This window comes from Homo sapiens, chromosome 7 (assembly GCF_000001405.40).
Source record: "Homo sapiens chromosome 7, GRCh38.p14 Primary Assembly".
NCBI classification, from domain to species: Eukaryota; Metazoa; Chordata; class Mammalia; order Primates; family Hominidae; genus Homo; species Homo sapiens.
Genome location: NC_000007.14, coordinates 7,566,129 through 7,587,110, shown reverse-complemented (window position 1 = coordinate 7,587,110; position 20,982 = coordinate 7,566,129). Strand labels below are relative to the sequence as shown.

The following is a 20,982-nucleotide window of genomic DNA, read 5'->3' as shown; positions in this document are numbered from 1 at the left end:
TAAACCCAGGAGGTGGAGGTTGCAGTGAGCTGCCATTGCACCACTGCACTCCAGTATGGGTACAGAGCAAGACACTGTCTCAAAAACAACAACAACAACAACAAAAAAAAAAAAAAAAAAAAGGGAAAGAAAAGTACTTATTATGGGTCACTTAACTTAAAATGCAGAAATTTAATATTTAAACAATATACATCTTTTATCAATTCAGAAGTTAACAATCCACTTGTTTATCTAGTCTCTATCATTCTCTAACACTTCGTGAAAGCATTATTTTATCTCTCCAAGATACATTTAAAGTCTTCTGTTTAACAAAAAAGATTAATTACAGTTAAAAAATAAAGTCCTAACATTATACGTATTAATTTGAATTGGTCAGAAAAAGTTCAATAGTAATTTATTAAAAGTAATAAAGTACATAAAGTGCAAAATACACATTTATTAAACATTTCATTAAGCTGCTCCAATAAAATACATATTTTTACAAATTCTTAGGGACTAATCCTTAAATCACTTATTCAAGAAATGTATAATTGATAAGAAATGGTACAGTAGCAAACACAGAAATGAATTTCAGTGTAGAAAGTTCTTCCCACTGCTAGAAAGAAGCCAAGTAGTGCAAAGAAAGTTGTAGTACTATTGTTTAGCTTAAAACCCAATAGCTAAAACTGGTAAGCAAATCTCACTTCATTCTTTCTTTCCCCGTTTTGTGATAAAGAACCTATTTGATTGTGTTATGATCACAGGTGGTTAAAACAGAAGAGAAAAAGAATAACACAAAGACCAAATAAAAAGCTGAAATAGTCCACTGTAAGTACTGTTATCATTCCTAACAGGAACCACAAAGACTAACTGGGACAAGATGTATGGCCACCTCCACCATAACTGATCAATAATCGTGAGTTGTTTTATTTAACTACACACACACACACACACACACACACACACACACACACACGTGCATGTGTGCACAGTGTAAACAGCGAATATATTTTTATGTTTACACAGCTGTAGATTTCTACAGCTCAGTTCTTAAGCTAAAGGATAAAATCTTTATTCCTTCTATATCTGTAAATTATATTAAAACCATAAAAATCAAATCCAGTTTGGTATCAGTTAACTAACTCTAGGACGGGAATCACACTCAAGAAGAGCTGCTCAAAAAAAAAGCCCAAGATGCCTTATTTTAAATAACATATGCATAAAAATATAATATTTTATGCAACAGACATTTGAAAATTTTAATAAAGTTAGATAAAAACTCCTATCTTAATTCAAAGGAAGATCTTAAAAAACAAGTTAGCTTACCAAAACTCCATCGTAAGATCCTGTTTCACTTGTCAGAAATGCAAACATGACACACAAATACGGGTTATTTAGCTGTAATCGCAGTGTGCTACACATTTCTCTCCAAAGGGAGTTCTTCTCATCCGTATAACCCGATAAAGCCATTGCTACCACATTGAGATTCAGATCTCCTGCATATTAAAAACAGCCAGCTAATCAAAGTGATCAAAAGCTTAATATCTCTTCTACATTTCTTAAACCATAAATAGAAATCAGAGGGTGACTTTTACCCTCAGAAAAATGAGCTCAGAGAATAAGGGTTTTGGGCTGCTCTGCCTATGGAGTAGCCATTCTTTTATTCCTTTACTTTCTTAATAAAGTTGCACTTTACTCTTGAAAAAAAAAAAAAAGGGGGGGGTTTGGGTTTTGATTCAGACTGGAAAATTTGGCAAAGACAATAAGCAAAACATTTCTACCCTTATAAAACTCATGCCCATGTGTGCAAACTCTGTGCAGGGAAGCAGATCTTTTACTTTTCAAGTTCTCAATCCAGGCAGGGTCTTATATAAGTTATTCCTGTGTATGTTCCCATATATGTATGTTATTGCTTACTAAATGAAGAAAAGTGAAGTCATCCTACCAGAATCACTGTCAACTTTAACAAGTTTATTAATGTAAAGGTATTTCAAAAACACTTATAGTAAATATTGCATCTCAAGACTGCAATATTCAAAATCATTTTATTTTCCTATTCCTAAATATATAATGCAGACACTTATGTATATAAGTGTCAATGCAAAGTGCAGAAAGTAATATTTCAATACTTTAATTACAGTATTACACTTACAATTTTTCCAGGACAAAATGAACTACAAGAATTACCACAGAACTGCATTTAGACCCATTTGCAAGAAAGCATTTGTTACCAATAGTCTTTTAAACATTTGTTCTTAGCAGTTTAGATGCATGCTGATAAGCTGCTAACTTTGCCTTCAGCAGTATGGCTGCCTAGTCTTCTAACCGAAGTTCAGCTTCAAAAGAAAAAACTGAATTTTCCTTTAACTTTGACTTTTAAGTATTTTCTACACTTATTATATAAGTTTTCTTAATCTATTTCTTGATTCTAATCTTTTTCTTTCTTTTCCAAATAAAGCAGTGTTTCCCACTTTATGTTCTTAACAGCTTTATATTCCTCATTTCTATAAACACTTTCCCAAGTTACTTTGTGCTTGCTTCCTTTGCCTAATACATTAGATTTAAGGTCTTTTAAAATAAAAATAAAAATAGCAAAGAAGTATCTTTGGATTTTGTATAGAACAATTTACTTCTAAATGGAAAAGAATGTTTGACTCAGAGAAGTCTTCTCTTCAGTCCTTAAAATCACTGGAAAGATACATTTTCCCTATTGTTAGTATGGGTGTTTAAATCGACCACCAAATTTCCCAGGTACACAAGATAGGAAAGTATCACCCTTTCAAGTTATAGCAAAATTATAATTAGAAATGGCTTTAAATATCAATTCTTTTTTCCATCATCACCTATTTTCTATTGCACTCTTAAATGAGGGAGACTTTTGTTAGAGCAAAGGTGAAGGAAAAGATGCCAATCTGAGCAAAACATTGACTTTTTTAACTTTTAGACTACAAAAAAAATTACAGTGAATTTCATGTTTTTCTCTATGCTACAGCTAAACTATAATGGTTTCAAAATGGACCAGCAAGTAAGGATTCAGTATTCTGAATATTCAAAAATTATTTTTTAGGTGTACTAAAGACCAATAGCTATATATATTTTAGTTATTTCCAAGCGAAATATTCCTGATAAGAAAAAAACCCCTGAGGTTTTGTATTAGGATTTGTTTTTCCGAGGATCCTCTGGCAAAATGCCAGAGTAAAAAAACCTTATCTCTTTCTTTTTAAAAAATACTAAATGAAAACTGTATTTTAATCACCAGATTCAAGAAGCAATTTGAAGATCAAAGTATGCTTTTTATAACAATTTGTATTAGCCTAAATAAAAGTGTCATTCAGAGTTTCTTAAAGGTCAAACAATAACCATCCCAAAGAAAGTATAAACTAAAACACTCAAATATGGATCGTAAAAATACTTGTAGGCTAAAGTAGCCCTAATCTTTAAGAAAATATATTTTAAAAAATGTTATGTGAACTATCTTTAAGAGAAAACATTGAAAATGGACACACTTGAGCACTCCTTATAATATTATACTAACATTTAAGACACATCTTTGTTTTTACAGCCCTAAACCAAGGCATAAGAGATGAGCTAAGTATTTACTGTTATAGATATACTGCTGTGTTTTCTCCTCCAACAAAAATTAAATTAAAATTTTAAGTGATTAGATATTTGAAAATTATTAGCCTCTTTTCTTTAAAAGATTCCATGAACTGCTAACATCTTAGATTATAACTAATATCTTAGTTTATAACCTAATACCTTTTTCAGAAGATGCCCCTTCATTCAGGATTTGGATTGCTCGGCGAATATCCAAGTTGAACAATGCCACAGCAGCAGCTCTTTCCCATTCCCCTTCTTGTACAAGGGAGTTCAAAAATGGCCCCACGTCTACATCCGTTCCTTTCTTTATCCACCCACAAAGCTGTAAAGCTAAGATTCTCTCTTCATTTAAATTTTGAATATCACTTTGCTTATCCAACCCACTCCAATTATGTCTGCTGCTTTCCACCATTCCTAAAAACAGAAAACATTTTTATATTGTTTTATTTCAAAATATATTTGGAAAGTAAGTCAGTTTTACAGAGAACTATGTTGACACATTTAGAATATTTAACTTCTCGGCCATAATTTTATGATAGTGTAAATATGAACTATGCCACAAATACAACATATTTTGCATGTTTTTAAGTACAGTAGCTCCTTGAGTTAGCAAAGAACTACTGAAATAAGAGCAAATGCTCAGATGGACTAAACTGAGTTACTGCCTGGCCACCTAATCTAAAATAGACATACTTGTTATTATCTAACTCACCACCCATTGTTTCCTCTATTTCCTTTAGCACTTAATATGTGCTCCCATTTATTAATTTATTTTTCAGTCTTATCTCTTCTCCCAGTAGCGCATAAGCTCCAAAAGGGCAGGTGTCTTGTCTGTTTTATTCACAAGGTATCCCTACTGTCTGAAATCCAGTAGAAGTGATCTTGCTTTCTTCCTTCTTTCTCTGTACATTAAAAAACAAGATTACAGACTTCAAAGTACTTTGAAAGTTTAAGGTAAGTAATAATTTTAAAATATAATGGGACTAACTTGAGGGCTATTTTTCCCCTTACTAAATCAGAAAACTTCATTTCTCATTCTTTTTTCAGAACAAACCCTTGCCTTCACATAGCATTATTTATACTGCAATCAAGGCAGTTGATCCTAATGACATGGTAATTTCACTTAGGATGATACTTAGTGCCAAATAAAGTCAAAACGAATAAAGATGACACTTAAGAACTATAATAACAAATTCTTAAATGTTCTAGAAAGTTTTACCACCAAAATTGTCATTATATAATTATGTTTTTTAACAAAAAGGATTTTCAGAATAAACTAAATTATGAATTAGGCAACATGAATGTCCAACATTACCAACTTTTTATTTTTTGTAGTAATTTACCTTTGTAATTTACAGTAATTATATATTTATATATTTACATACAATACTGCAATTATACATTTGTAAATAACTAGATCAACAGCAGACAGTTTCTAGAATTCCTCATTCAACCTGTTGGTTGTAGGCAGAACTGTTAAAAACGGCTGCATTCCTGTCCTGGCCCGCCCTCCCGCCCCGCCAACCACACTCTTGTGTAAACCCCTCCCCTTGCGTACAGGTAGAATCTGTAACTTGTCTCGAGATAACAGAATACAGCAGAGGTGAAAGCATTTTGCAGATATAATTAAGGCCCTTACTCAGTTCACCGAGCGAATCAAGGGAAGATTATCCTGTGTGGGCCTGACCTAATTAAGTAAGTCCTTTGAAAGACAGTCTCGAGGTAAGAGAGAAGCAGCAGGAGACAGATCTCCTGCTGATGATCTTGAAGATGTAAAAGCTGCTGTGCTCTGAGAGGGTCTGTGAGAAGGCCACGTGGCAAGGAACTGTGAATAGCCTCTAAGGAGCTGAGAGCAATTTCTGGCCATTAGCCCTCAAGAAAATGGCTACCTCAGTCCCACAGTTGCAAGGAACTGAATTCTGCCAACAACTCCATGAACTTGGAAGAGCACTCCAACCTCTAGAAATAAATACAATTTGGCTGATACCTTCTGGTTAGCCTTTTTGAGACTCTCAACAGAGGACCCAGCTAAGGTGTGCCCAGACTCCTGACCCATGGAAATGACGAGATAGTAAATGAATGAAAATACACTACCAAAGTTAATTTAGCTACAGTCATTCTGGTCAAGGAATTAAAGGCATAAACAAACACAAGCAAAAATAAGAAAATATTAAAAACTTGTCATTTGCAAGTTAAATTACATATATAAAATTTTTCTTTTCTTTTTTTGAGATGGAGTCTTGCTCTGTCACCCAGGCTGGAGTGCAATGGCACACGATCTCAGCTCACTGCAACCTCCGCCTCCCAGGTTCAAGCGATTCTCCTGCCTCAACAGGTGCACACCACCACACCCGGCTAATTTTTGTATTTTTAGTAGAGACCGGGTTTCGCCATGTTGGCCGGGCTGTTCTCGAAGTCCCGACCTCAGGTGATCCACCCACCTCAGCCTCCCAAAGTGCTGGGATTACAGGCATGAGCCACCGTGCCCGGCCTATTTTTACTCTTTTCAAGTATTCAGACTAAATGATTTTTAAGAAAAATTTTAGGCCAGGCACCGTGGCTCATGCCTGTAATCCCAGCACTTTGGGAGGACGAGGTGGGCGGATCACCTGAGGTCGGGAGTTCGAGAACAGCCCAGCCAACATGGCAAAACCCGGTCTCTACTAAAAATACAAAAATTAGCCGGGTGTGGTGGTGTGCACCTGTAGTCCCAGCTTCTCGGGAGGCTGAGGCAGGAGAATCGCTTAAACCTGGGAGGCGGAGGTTGCAGTGAGCCGAGATCGCACCAGCCTGGGTGACAGAGTGAGATTCTGTCTCTTTAAAAAAAAAAAAAAAAAGGTAAAATAGTACATAGTCAAAGGTCTAAACTCTCTTTTATACCTAATTCATACTTTTAAAAACCTTGTGTGATTATCTGATTTTAGGCTGTGGCAAGTCTAAAATATTATGCATGTTAGTACATATTTTAAATTATATCCGATTGCTTTATGAAAAAGTTTCAAGATGTGTTATTTGTAAAATTTTGGAAATACAAAAATTAGTTAAATAATTCCACTTGAAGTTACGTATTTTTAACCTGACTATTGGAAACTATTGCCAATTCAGGTCAAGGAGTTAAGAGGAAACTTCCAAAAAGTTTTCTTACTTTAACAGCACTTCCTACCCACTAAAAAGAAGGAGCATGCTACTTTATTTGCAACCATGAGGGGAGTCAGCCCAAAGACAAAATCACTTTTAGCTTATGAAAGTGGATTTTTAAGGACTATAATGTGAAAACTTTTAACGATTAATGATAAAAGTTAACAAAACACTTATTAAAAAAATTAAAACATTCATTCTGAATAACAAATTTAAATTGTCAGGGCAGAATGCAGTCATTTAATTTCAGGTAGAGGCTGAGATGTATTATAAGGTGTGTATTTTCATATCTCTCCTATAAATTTTGGATTTAAAGCTGGTATTTAGTGATAATACAATTTTAAAACAGGTGAGCAAAAATCAGCAATTTATTTTTCAAATGGTTCCTTACAGCTTAATAATAATATTCTAATTTCTCAAAGAGTTTTTATTTTATAGAAATCATGTCATGGAACAGAATAGAGAACAATCCAGTCATGAGTTGATTAACAGTAGGGATACATTCTGAGAAATGTGTCATTACGCAATTTCGTTGTTGTATGAACATCACAGTGTACTTACACAAACCTAGATGGCATAGCCCACTACACACCTGGGCTACATGGGCCTGTTGCTCCTAGGCTATAAAGCAAGCTTGTCTAACCCACAGCCCAGGACAGCTCTGAATGCGGCCCAACACAAATTTGTAAACTTTCTTAAAACATTATGAGATTTTGGGGGGATTTTTTAAGAACTTTTTTATTTTTTAGCTCATCAGCTATTCTTAGTGTATTTTATGTGTGGCCCAAGACAATTCTTCCATTGTGGCCCAGGGAAGACAAGATTGGACACCTCTGCTTTATAGCAAGTTACTGTACTGAATACTGCAGGCAACTCTAACACAATGGTAAGTATTTGAGTACCTAAACACAGAAAAGGTAAAGTTAAAATACAGTATTAAATCTTATGGGGCCACCATTATATATGCAGTCGATTGTTAACAGAAACGTCATTGTGCAGTAGATGACTGAAAATGAATTCAAAGAGGTCACTGCTAGGAGGTAGAAATATTAATATGTCCTGCATGTTAAGAACATGGTTATTGTATCACATATTTTTTCTGCTTAGAGATCTTTTTATTGATAACTATGCTACAGTTGATTATCAGAATTATCAAATAAGCAATATGATGTCAGCATGGGTTTTAACTTATGAGTTTTACATATAAATTTTTAATATATCTCTGAAAACGAAGTAAAATATATTTATGCATGTTATGTACCACTAAAGTAACAAAATTTTATCTCCTAAATTTGAGACTGTCCTATACATAAATAACAGAAAACGTTTTACTGATGGCTGCGAGGAAAACAAGTTTATTTAAACATTAAAAATCAGGGTTTAGGCCAGGCACGATGGCTCATGCCTGTAATCCCAGCACTTTGGGAGCCCGAGGCAGGCAGATCACTTGAGGTTAGGAGTTTGAGACCAGCCTGGCCAATGTGGCAAAACCCTGTCTCTACAAAAAATACAAAAATTAGCCAGGTGTAATGGCATGCGCCTGTAATCCCAGCTACTCAGGAGGCTGAGGCACGAAAATCACTTGAACCCAGGAGGTGGAAGTTGCAGTGAGCCAAGATTGTGTCACTGCACTCCAGCCTGGGTGACAGAGAGAGAGACTCTGTCTCCAAAAAAAAAAAAATTAGGATTTAAACATTTCTTTCAAATCAGCAATCAGATACTATGCTCTTTGTAGCTACTAATTTGTTTCATTTTAATATCTATGTAGTAACTAAGCAATACAATTATCCAGTTTATAAGAAATCCTAGCTATTTTGCCCCTTGAAGTCATTTTGCATAGACAAATTCTCAGTTCTCTAGATTAGATTTTACCTTTTTGTTTGTTTGTTTTAAAGAAAAAGAGAGACAGGGTCTCTATGTAACCCAGACTGGTTTCAAACTCCCGGGCCCAAGCGATCCTCCTATCTCAACCTCCTGAGTAGCCGGAACTGTAGAGTTTACTCTTTAAGCATGAAAAATATTATTTTCATGATGGATTAAAGCAGGCCAATATTTTTTATACAACTTTCTGCCATCTTAAAAGGAAGGAATTATACCTACTAATAACACTGTGAACTTGCTATACAGGTCTGTAGAAGAGATTCCCTCAGAGCATGCATTCTTCTCATCCTGGTTGATCTAAGCACTTAGCCCATTCAATAAACTAGCCTCTCAGTTCCTTTGCTTCCTTATCTCCAGTGGTCTACACCTCCAAGACTTTAGCTACTCCTTTCACAGCCACACTTGAAACTGTCCTCCTCCAAAAGACCTACTTTCTAACCACAACCACATAGCCTTCCAAAAATCTCACTTCCTTATATTTTTCACAACCTCGCAGTGTCTTCACCACTATTATTTTTACTTATCAGTCTTATCCTGTCTTCATTTTCATCTCTATCCAAATAAGATCCCAAGGGTCAAGTGAACCACTCTCTTGCCAATATATTTAATTATCTTGCCCTACTGTCCTTTATTCTGCCTTCTGGTAAAATAATGTTACCCAGTAATCCTCCCATATTTCTCAAGACAGCTCTCTCTCCTCTTCTCCATATCCTCTTCCTACGACCTCCCTGCTCCTTCTCAACAGCAGCCATAAAATGGGAAATCCCTCAGCCTCTGGTTATTGAAACTCAAACATCCTGCATACAGCATCCTTTCCCCCTTTCCTCTGGCAAATGTGGAGGTGTGCACCCTTGTATCTAAAGCTAAAGAAACCTGTGCTCTGGATCCCATTCCCTCCCATTTCTAGGAACTTCGCTTCACTCCCTTCTCTCTGCATCTTTAACCTCTATGGGCTTCCTTCAATTAGCATTTAAACATGCTTAAATTAATCCCATGTTGAAAACAGAAATAAAGCAACACAAAGCTCCCGGCTCCAGATTTGTCTCCTCCTACTGCGTATCTTTTTGTCCTCCTTTATATAGTCAAATTCCTTCAAAAAAAGTATTTATAATTGATTACTTCATTTCCTCAACCCACTCTGAATTTCTAATATAACTGCAATTTGCTATCCATACCGCCAGTGAAAGACCTTCTCCTAGTCCTAAATTCAGTGAGTCCTTTTTAGTTCTTATTTGGCTGGATCTGAAGCATGGAGCACCGGACAACTGACCTCTCTTCCACATGAATGTATACTAGGTTGGTACAAAAGTGATTGCGGTTTTTGTCATATAGATCTTTCTCCTACATCTCTCGACAATCTGCCTCAGTCTCCTTTAAGCCATCTCTTTCTTACTCCAAACAATTCCATTTACTCTATCAAATATCATTTATTTCTGACATACATTATATTCCTCCCCTGGGCTTTGAACTGATATCCTATTGCCCAATGGACGTCTCTACCTAAGCATCTTGATTTCAACTTGCTCCAAAATAAACCCAAATACTCTTCCTGTGTTATTCCTAATTAACATACTTAAAATTAACTAGTTTCCCAAACTAAATATATGTGTGCTACCTTTGACTTTTCCATCTTCTCCACCCCTTTATCTAATTAATCATTAAATTTTCTCCTATTCTCTAATGTATCCACATTTCTCTAGCTCCTCTGCTACTAACCTTGGTAAGGATAGCATCACGTCTTGCCTCCTTGCAGCAGGCTTCTATCTGATATCCCTACTATCAATCTTGATCCTTTTAAAACACAAATCTGTCACAAATCCATCTGTTTCCCCGTCTTACAAGATGAATCTCCCTAAATTCTTAACATGATTTCTAAGTCTTTCTTGAGTTAGCCCACTGCTTACCTTTCTAGCCTCCATTCTTTCCTCACTTCCTCTCTCATGCTCTGTTTCAGCCATAATAATGTGCTATGCTCTCTACCCTCTGGGTCCACTGCACATGCTGCTCCCTGTCTGGACCTTGTCTTTAACTGTACCTCCTCTGAGAAACCTCTAATCCCTGCAACCAGATTAGGAGTCCTTCCTGTAATTAACTGTCTGTTCTTCCCTATGTTATAACTGCCAGCTTACTTGTCTATATTCTAAACTAGAATATAAACTCCTCAAGAGCAGGGATGACATTGATCCTGCTCAATCTCCATGAGGGAAGAGATTTATGTATCTTCTTGAGAGTTATGTCTCTAGTTCCTAGGATAACTCCTGGCATATAGCATGCATGTAGGTAATAAATACTTGCTGAATGAATGAGCTTACTTCATATTGTAGTTGTAAAAATTAAAGTAACATGGGAAAAGCAACTAATTCATAGCAAGCACTTATATATATACTATTTGTTACCAAAATTAAAATTTAGCTGTATGCTCTAATAAACTTGTGTATTAGGTTACTGTGGACAAGATGGCTCAATGTGTTGACTTACCATGTGTTGATTATTAGAGATACAATTAGAGGAAAAGGTATGGCCAAATAAAACAGAAGACTGAAATCTAAGAGTGGCATATTTGACAGTATTTCTCTACTTTTCACCTTTGGGTAGTAGAAACAAAAATATCTATACCAAACAAAAAAAAAAAAGCTGAAAACCTAGCAATGAGAGAATGATGAATGAGGAAATCTTTCCAACAGTAGTGTTTCTTTAGTCTGGGTAGAGACTATTTTGACACAGGGGTGGGATACTCAGTTTGTCTCTAGTGCACCAGAAACATAAACATATTACATTTTCCCCTTTTGCTTTTCCTCAGATGCTGGCTTTTCCTTAAAATATATCAAAATACAAAAAACACAATAACCAACCTCTAAATAATTGAGTGCAGTGTGGCCTGATCTACTATATAGCTAAAACACTATAAATTCTATAAACTTGGTGTTTAATTCTTTGTAGCAATAGGCAATGGCTCTAAAATCTTGAACCATGGTACCAGGTTCATTTGTGGGAGTAAAACAGTATGTGTGCCCTTTTACCTATGTTAATAAAAACAGCAGCTTCTAACTAAACTTATTCATTTTACTATTTATAATAAAGGTTACTTTTTTTGGTGGAGGGCTAATACAAAAACAATAAAATCAAACTGATCAGTAAGTAGTCTACTGCATCTTTCAGTAAAGTGAACCAAAGTAATTTGAAAGACGTTAAAAAAACACTATAATGTAACAGTTTAATTAAAACACTTAACCTACTCTAAAATATTTTATTATTTTGTATTTTGTTTGTATGGTACTGATACAAGCTCCGTAAAAAATCAAATTGGATTTACTACTTCTATTACTGCTCTTTGACTAAATAATGTTAACTACTTTTCTAACAGCTTGACTTGGGCCCAAATTTGACTTACCAAAAGTTAGAGAACGAATCCTAGATCACAGAGATACAGGGTGAGCATCCCAAATCTGAAAACTGAAGTCCAAAAGGCTTCAAAATCTGAAACTTTCTAAGTGCTGAGATGATATTCAAAGGAAATGCTCATCGGAGCATTTTGGATTTCAGAATAGGGATGGTCAATCTCTAAGTATATAACGCAAATATTTCAAAATCTGAAAGTATCTGAAACATTTTTGGTCCCAAGCCATTTTGGATAAGGTATACTCAACCTGCAATTCTAATATAACCCATTATTCAATTCCAGTAAAAGAATAGGAACAACTGTTTAAAGCAGTCAGAAAAAAAAAAAAGTTTGGTTTTTGTCACTTTTATTCTTTAATAGTTTACCATACCAATTTTCAATCCTACATTAACTCACACGTTAATTAATTCATTCACTAATTAACCAAGGACTATATCAGGTATAATTCCTCCACGTTAGGCCATATTTCATATCATACTCCTTGCTGTTAGATGGCTCAATGAAAGTATTTGAGGAGCAAAATAAAAAGGGATCTCCTTCAATTAGAGATCTTTTTAGTTTTTAAGAAGCAAAATGTTGCGATAAAACCTGAACTAACAATCAGTAATCTGTAAATTGTCTAGTGTAAAACCTCTCAAAGTGGGTTTTCAAAAAAATAACATTGAATAAACGTGTGGATAGATTTAAGAAGATCAACATCACTTCAGAGAATTAAGACTCCCTGCAAAAAGGGTTTTGGATATAAATACAAGTATGCATTTAACTCAACAATACAATGAAATATCCAATCAGAAAACAAAAAAAATTATGTACATGATCCTGAAATAACTAGATAATTTCTGCCAAATGACAGGGGGCAAAATAAAAGTACAAAAGTTATAAACATATTGGAGAAAATGAAATAGAATTTTCTTACCCAACGATGACTTTACAATTGATTTAATTCCTGCATAAACCAATGATCCTTTGTTGCCTGGAGATTTCTGATCCATATCTTCTGTGTATTGCTTCATAAGTATTTAAATGCATAGGAAATACTAGTGATGCATGACAATATATTTCAAAGCTAAATTTATTTTGATTTGGAGCCAATTCATAATAAGTATCAGTGTAAATAAGGTGGTTCGACTCTATTGCAGAGATACACTTTTCTTCCTCCTACACAATCTACAAAGCAGTATTTCAAGTTCGAAAGTTTAGAACAATTTTACTTTATAATGTTAGTATTATGTAACTTGTATTTGTATATAAAACATTGAGCATATTTACAGACTGACCTTTTGGCAAACTTCAAGAACATTTCTACCTGATTCACCTCACAAAATTCACAATGAAAAGGATATAGTGCAGAGTATACCAGAGTGACTTGAGCTGTGGATCTTCATTTCCAGCTAAAATGTGGTTCCTCCACACCTGCTCTGTATCAAGTCCATACCTTGATAAAGCCCGAAGACGCATCTTCGTTGCTATATCTTTTTCTAAAGAATTATCATTTTCTTCTTCCGTACATTCATATAAATGACGACCACAAGCCCACATTAAAGATGTAATTGGGCTCCAGGCAAGAGATATCCTTTCAAAAACAGTGAAGTCTGACATTGTTCGGTTGGGAGTTACAACTATCATTCGATTTTGACTTGTTGGATGCCACGCAAAGGAAGCAATGTAATTGTCACAAGGTTGCACACTTCTTTCAATTATTGTGGGTTCAGTTTCATCCCCAATGGGAGTGGGTGTATGCTGCATATCATACAATCTAATAATATTACTATCCCTTGTTAAAGTGGCAAGTAGACCAGTCCTAGTGGGACACCATGCTACTTTTGTTAAGGGTTTTGGTTGCTCAGTCAATGTCAAAACTGGCTTCTCAAATTTTCTAAGATCCCATATTGCAACCTGACCTTCATAGAAGGAAGCAACACGATCGTGGAAATATGGGTCTACCGTCACACCCTGAACAGCTTTTGTATTTACGAACATCTTTTGGCTTGTATTCCGAAGATCAAATATAGCTAGGTTACGATGCATACCAGCAAGGAGAAGTTTCTGGTCTCGTGGAAGCCAACAAAGAGACAGACAAGCATCATTCTGTCCTAACTCATAAAGTGGTTTTGTTACTAATAATGTTGTTTCAGTTTCACCTGCTGAAAGTTTCACTTTTTCCATGGGAACTATATCAGGAGTATATTTGCTGCAGATATCCCATATTAGCACTGAAAAGTCAGCTCTGTGCTTATCTAAACCAGCAGCTAGCCAGTTACTATCCAGTGGATTCCAGGCAAGGGTATTACATTGTCGTGCATGTTTTGGAACAAACTCTTTTCCTATCAAATCTTTGAACTTTGAGTTATGATCTTGACCAAGGCTTGTAAGTACAACTCGACCATTTGCTTGTCCAACTGCCAGCAGACATTCAGGATCATAATTAAGATACCAGGCAACACATTTCATATAGGGTGTATCTGAATTTATTGACAGTAATGTAGCTGCAGAGTCTTCAGATAAACGTAAAGATCCAGCTTTGAGTTCTGAATTCACAGTAGATTCCACATGATAAAGACTTAGTTCTGAGTCACACACAACAAATCTATCAACATGGTGTGGTGCCCATAAAATATCAGGTTTGGTACCGCTCATGTTTACTGATGTGATCAAAGGGTCCACTCAGGTCCATTCACTGAAAATGTTTAAAAATAAAAAGTTTTAAAATATCAGCAAAATATAATTCTTACGTTGAATAAACTATTCAGAAAGTCAGAAAATTCTCTATTCAAGAACCCTCTTTTTCAATATATTTGTATTTCTTCTCTCTATCTGCTATGAATTCAAGAAAATATTTATTGAAAAAAAAGGAGAAAGAACAACCACTTCCAATAAAATGAGCTGGTAGGAATCTGAGAATCCCATCCTGGCTATATTTCCCATGATCAATTATCTTAATTGCACTGTTACTAGTACCTTCAGCTTAACTTCAGAGTTATAACAACTTCAGTGTGGTAAGCAAATTAATAAGTATTATCCCTTTGAAGGGGGGAAAACTTATGAATCATATTCCTAAGCAATAGTTTAAAGCAGCACTGCCCAATAAAACTTTCTGCAATGACAGAAATGTTTCATGTTCATGCTGTCCAATATGGTAGCCACTAGCCACATGTAGCTACTGAGCACTAGAAATGTGACTAATTCAAATTTTAAACCTTAATTTTAACAAATTTTAATATAAATAACCATATGTGGTCATCGTAATGAACAATGGAGATTTAAAGTACAATGTCATACTAAGACAGCGGTTTCTTCAACTTTAGTAATAAGCATCAGCCTTGTATGGCAGAATAAACACTGGAATGTACTGAACGAACCTGAGTTCTAGTCCTAGCTCTGCCGTATATTAGTTATATGCCTCAGAAAAGTCATTGTGTGTGGGGAACCCCTTTGTTTTCTCATCTACACAATGTAGGAGCTGGTTTAGATTAGTATTTCCCAAACTTCAGTCATGTAACACCTATGCCATTAATATTTTTCTTTAAACTGACTCATTTTTAAAATCTGAAAATTGACTTTAATCTCTTCATAAGGTCCATGAATCATGGTATGCTATGCTAAATATATTTTTAACCTACACTGAAATATATAACTATTAAAAAGGCTTGATTGTGTTTTATCTACAAAGCATCCTGTTTATGACCAGTGGTACACACATACCACACTCTGAGAAAGTGGATTAAGTGATCATTAGAGGCTCTTTCAGTTTTCGCTTCTACAAACTTTGAATAAGTGTTAAAGTAGAATTTTTGAAAAAAATAAATATTCTAGCAGTAGAAGCACACGAACTAAATATAGCTATAGTTAAAAATGGTGTTTCAATAATTAAGGTTGCCTACAAAAATTTAAATGCCTGTTTCTAACAGAGGCTGGCAAAAGGTAATAGATTCAAAAAGAATGAACATACTTAAAATCTTCATTGCAATTGGCATCTGTACAACTCTGTTGTCAGTTCTCATAAGGTAAAGCTATGGTTCACTTACCTCTCTATCCTTAGTGCCATATATAGAGCCTGGCATAGACTCCTAATAAGGATACACTAAATAGTTCAACTCAAACATAATTGCTTTTCTTTTTGATCTTGCAAAAGTTTCAGTTGGGAATTACCAGTCTAAAACTTCATAGACTCATATAATTTAGACCAGGGGTCCCCAACTCCCAGGGCCGCAGACCAGTTCTGCTCCCTGGCCTGTTAGGAACCAGGCCACACAGCAGGAGGTGAGCAGCAGGCAAGGGAGCTAAGCGTCATCTGTTATTTACAGCCACTCATCTCACACACTGCTGCCTGAGCTCCGCCTCCTGTCAGATCAATAGCAGCATTAGTTTCTCACAGGAGTGCAAACCCTATTGTGAACTGTGCAAGAGAGGGATCTAGGTTGTGCATTCCTTGTGAGAATCTAATGCCTGATGATCTGTCACTGTCTCCTATCACTCCCATATGGGACCATCTAGTTGCAGGAAAACAAGCTCAGGGCTCCCACTGATTCTACATTACGGTGAGTTGTATAATTATTTCATTGTATAGTACAATGTAAATAGAAATAAAGTGCACAATAAATGTAATGCGCTTGAATCATCCTGAAACCACACCCCCACCCCTCATCCGTGAGAAAATTGTCTTCCATGAAACTGGTCCCTGGTGCCAAAAAGGTTGGGGACCACTGATTTAGGAATTCTTATACTGGTTTTATTTCCTTCTTTAGCATTTCTCAAGCCCAAGATCAATCATTTCAATATTCTTACTAGCACCCTCAATGTCTTCATTTCCTTGCCACTTTGGGTTTGCCTTTCCCCAGTCCTAGATCAACCCAATTATTTATCATCTTGTCTCCTCACTCAGGCTTCCAAGTGCTACCACACAGAGGATAGTCTCAAGCCTCTGAAAACTGATTTCAGTAAATTAAGGTATACAACATATCTGGTGTGTGGTGCTGGAGGCTTTTCTTTTATTCATCTTTCCCCTGGTCCTTCAGAAATTTTGCTTTATAGAATACCAGAGTAAAAATCTTTCTACAACACAACCTTGACCAGGCTATCCTTCCTTGCTTAAAACCCTCTAATGGTCTTCAGCTGCTCTTAGTATAACCTACAAAACCCTAAATGCTTTTGGTCTCTGCCTACTGCACCGGCCTTGTGGCACAACATTCTTGCTGTCCTTTTACACTGTCCTTTCCACTTCCTAGAGTATATACCCTCCTCCCTCATCACCATACCTTTGCAAATGATGTTTCCTCTGGTTAGAGCACAGTTCCCTGTCTTCTGGGCCAAGTTAATACCTGCTCAACCTTGACGTCAACCACCCTCCATCCCCTCCCTAGTCGAGGTCTGGTTACTCAGACATACACTGTCATTAAACAGTATTCTTTCCCTTTAATCATCCATCTCTGTCTCTTCTACTGGATTATACACTCCATGAGAGCAGGTGAAGTATTTTTGGTGTTCCATTGTACCTCTAGTCCCCAGTACAGTGCTAGGCACTTAGTAGGAAGTTAATAAACATTTGTTAAATAAATGCATGTGCTGAATGATCCCTCTGACACTTCTCACAACTGCTATCTCCAAGTTTTACCTATTTCCTCATGCTTCCACTTCTACGCTCCCTAGGAGAGGCTGGCTCCGGCCAAGATTTAAATGTCTGCTATTATACTTTCATTTATTCTGTGACTATTGATTGGGCACCTTCTATGTTCTAGGCATGGTTATGAAGCTGGGAACACAGCAGCAAACATGAGCCGATGAAGTCTCTGGTCTAAAAAAAACCTGCACTGTAGTGATAAAATTAAGTCCAACCTTAAAAAGAGTTTCAAAATTTAAGAATGAGGAGGAAGAGGGGCACCTCACGTAACAGGAAGCAGCTACGACAGCAAAGAGGAACAGATACTGCCAAATAAGGGTTCATACTCATACCCCCACAAAGGAAATCTCTTAATTGGAGACATCATGAGATCTGGGCCATTTTCCCATCTCATTGAAAAATCAATGTTTAAATAAACACACTTTTTATCTAGGCTTTCATTCCACAACCCGACTCTTTATACCAATGGTCTATGGTAAGCAATCTTGATGCCACAAAGAAAAATCCATCTTACAAAACATAAAATACGAGTTTTAGCATAAAATTTAAAACTTTGATTTACATGACTCTCAACGGAGAATATCAGCATTTCTTCCCATGTTATGCACCTAAAATACTTCTATTGCCATCCACAAAATCTGATGACAGTAATTCATACAGAATCAAAACTTGAGAGAAAAAGACTAGCTAAATCTTCTAATTTCACAAAGGAGTAAAGTGAAGACCAGATGTTTGGGTGGTTATCCAAGGTCTCTCAACTTCCGTCCTAGATTACTGCAAAGAAAAGGATCAGCTACACGATATGCAGGACGTGGTGCAAAATAACAATGCAGGGCCCCTCATTTAAAAATTATTTACAATGTCCAGACAGTGACAGCAGACTGGCCATTAAACTAAGTGCTAGCCATTCTAAATGCTGGGCTCTGTGCTACTGCACAGGTTGCACATCATAAGAGTAGCCCTGTATAGAGAGGTGCATCTATGTCCACCCTTTTAAGAAGTGTATTTTTTTTCACCATGTAATATACAGGATAAACAGTTCCTTGCTCATGAACATACATCACCAAGAATCTGGTGTAAAGAAAACAATCTAGAGTCAGAAATCCTACAGCCACTCCCCAGCTCAGATCCTAACAAATCTTGTAATACTCCAAAACCATAAAACCGAGATAAAATCTATCCCATTTCCATCTCACAAAGCTGTGACAATCAACTGAAATGAGCTCTTCACATCACACAGATGTTAGTATTACTACCATTCCCTTAATCAGCCCTGAAAGTTAATGTTTTTTCCAAATTTTGGAGACATTAAAAAATTAGGTGTAGAAGGGGTGCGGTCTGCAATAATTACAGCTTGTATTTATATCCTCACCTTTCAAGTTTAACAAGTCTCACTTCCCATCAGTGATTTCTCAGCAAAGGAAAGCCATGCTGATTCTGTGTTCATTCACCAGAATATTTGCAACAGCACTGTCCAAAAGAAATACAGTGTGAGCCATATGATTTAAAAATTTCTAGTAGCCACATTTAAAAAGTAAAATTAGGTGGAATGAAATTTAAAAACACATTTTATTTAGCCAACATATCAACAGCATTATCCTTTCAATATGTAATCAATGCAAAAATTATTGAGGATTTTTACGTTTTTTTGGCACCAACTCTGGGAAATCCGATGTGTATTTTACACTTATAGCACATCTCAATCCCATGTGGCTACTGGACAGTGAAGTCCAACACATTAAAATACTACTCAGTGTACAAAGGATCCAACCACATGCTTTTTGATGTTGTCTTTTACTTTTCTTACCGTGGCAAATTACGAGAGCGGTTTCAAGAAATTTCCACCATCAGCATCTTCGAGGAGATGCACTGCACATATCCAAATTTCCCTTAAAATATACAAAAGGCCTGCAGTCATTTGCTAACCTATTCAGCAAAGTCCACAACATGTGTGAGGTTTCATTCATCCTCTTAATTTTCATTACTCATATGAGAAGAGAACAGAGCTCACCGGGAGACAGGCCGTTTAAGAAGTATAGTATTTAAGAGGGTACAACGGGAACAGGGCACGTTGCTATTCTAGGTAAAGCAGGAATCTGAGTCCGACTCTCCCGCTCCAGGCACCTGGCTGAGCCTCCCGGGAAAGGCTGGGACGCCGCTCCCCACAAGCCCGCCGCGGCGAAGGCTGTAGCGTGTTCCCTGCGCCCCGAGGAGGTCTCCGCAGGTCCCACGGCCGCCCGCAGCCCCCGGTGGCTCCCGCTGAGGCCCGGCCAGGCGGCCGGCCGCCCGGCGCGATTACCCTACAGCGCGGAACGCGCTCCCCGCCGAGACGCCCGGGCCTTTCAACTAGGCTATCTCCGGCCCCTCGCTGCGGCCGCGGCGCTCCCGAGAGTCGAGACGCGAACCGGGTCGCGCTCACTGACCTGAGGTGGCAGCGCGGCCGCCGCACAGCCGCTTCCGGCCGGGACACCGCCCCGCCCGCCGCAGGAGCCCGGACGCGGGCAAGATGGCGGCCGCGGCCGTGCGGCCCGTGACCTGGACCACTGGGCTGGGACCCACGACCCCACCACCACGCCTGGAGGACGCGCAGCGGCGCCTCGGCCTTGGAAGGGGAGTTTCCCAGCGCGAGCCCCGCCCTTCCCCGCCCGGGAGGCGCCTCGGGGCGGGGTCACTGGCCGGGAGGCCCCGCCTTCCGCCCGAAAGCGCCGGTGCACCCCGCAGGCCCTGCCCGTGGGTCCACAGGCCGGATCCCCGGGTTCCTAGGCTGGGACTGCTTCTCAGAACCACTCTGTCGTTTTTAAGCAGGGTCACACACTCTAGCTCACTGGGTCCATTTTAATTTCTATTAAACATTTTTTTTTTTTTGCAAATGATGTAGTAGGAGATCCAAGGTGTTTGGTTAATGATTTATTCACTCATTAGTCATTCCACAAACTTGTCTTGAGCACCTGTTATGTACCCAGCACTGTGCTGGAATGCTGAGGAGACAGGAGTGAAGTAAAAAGACATGGTTCCGGCAGGAAACAGGCAAGGAGAGCCTTGACTTGGTAGGGCTAACACAGTGCTACACAGGAGGGACGCCCGCTCGGTGTCGGGGGTCAGCAAAGCTTCCTTAAGGACCACTAGGTTGAGACAAGAAGGATGAGTATGGGATTAGCCAGGAAAGGGAAAAGGGCAGTGGGAACTGGAAGAGAAGAGCCTTCTAGGACTGGGAAAGAGCAAGTGCCGGGTCAGGAGAGAGGACATAGCAGTGAGGAGGCAGTAGGTATGGATGAATGAGCAGAGGAAGTGGGGAGAGATTAAGGTGCTTTCAGAAACGGGTTGGAAACCAGTTTAGTGAGTTTGGATGGCATTTACCTAAAGGCAA

At 37.7% G+C, this 20,982-nt stretch overlaps 1 protein-coding gene across 24 annotated transcripts in view, besides 4 other annotated features; it reads right to left on the bottom strand.

The window, feature by feature from the left end:
- MIOS (meiosis regulator for oocyte development) overlaps nt 1-20,227 on the bottom strand; it is a 42,261-nt gene extending 22,034 nt beyond the window's left edge. For 2 of the 24 annotated variants that reach the window (XM_047420507.1, XM_047420513.1), the window contains exons 1-6: nt 19,423-20,227; nt 18,988-19,085; nt 13,342-14,675; nt 12,915-13,013; nt 3,739-3,993; nt 1,306-1,475 (exon numbers count right to left, since the gene is read on the bottom strand). In XM_047420507.1, coding sequence (XP_047276463.1) covers nt 1,306-1,475; nt 3,739-3,993; nt 12,915-13,013; nt 13,342-14,635 — 1,818 coding nt within the window. In that variant the 5' untranslated portion in view covers nt 14,636-14,675; nt 18,988-19,085; nt 19,423-20,227. Of the gene's footprint in view, nt 1-1,305; nt 1,476-3,738; nt 3,994-4,291; nt 4,482-4,922; nt 5,083-5,218; nt 5,234-12,914; nt 13,014-13,341; nt 14,676-18,987; nt 19,086-19,422 lie in introns of those variants that run through there. The other 22 variants (NM_001370076.1, XM_047420514.1, NM_001370077.1 and 19 more) reach the window with 19 other exon arrangements.
- Nucleotides 8,906-9,106: a silencer, noted in NCBI's record as "peak6360 fragment used in MPRA reporter construct". NCBI's record gives its function as "represses an SCP1 promoter by STARR-seq MPRAs in K562 erythroleukemia cells {active_cell/tissue: K562}" and the evidence as "EXISTENCE:reporter gene assay evidence [ECO:0000049][PMID:32103011]".
- Nucleotides 17,800-17,859: an enhancer, noted in NCBI's record as "active region_25642". NCBI's record gives its function as "activates an Ori minimal core promoter by ATAC-STARR-seq in GM12878 lymphoblastoid cells {active_cell/tissue: GM12878}" and the evidence as "EXISTENCE:reporter gene assay evidence [ECO:0000049][PMID:35858748]".
- Nucleotides 19,437-19,506: an enhancer, noted in NCBI's record as "active region_25641". NCBI's record gives its function as "activates an Ori minimal core promoter by ATAC-STARR-seq in GM12878 lymphoblastoid cells {active_cell/tissue: GM12878}" and the evidence as "EXISTENCE:reporter gene assay evidence [ECO:0000049][PMID:35858748]".
- Nucleotides 19,757-20,406: a silencer, noted in NCBI's record as "silent region_17963". NCBI's record gives its function as "represses an Ori minimal core promoter by ATAC-STARR-seq in GM12878 lymphoblastoid cells {active_cell/tissue: GM12878}" and the evidence as "EXISTENCE:reporter gene assay evidence [ECO:0000049][PMID:35858748]".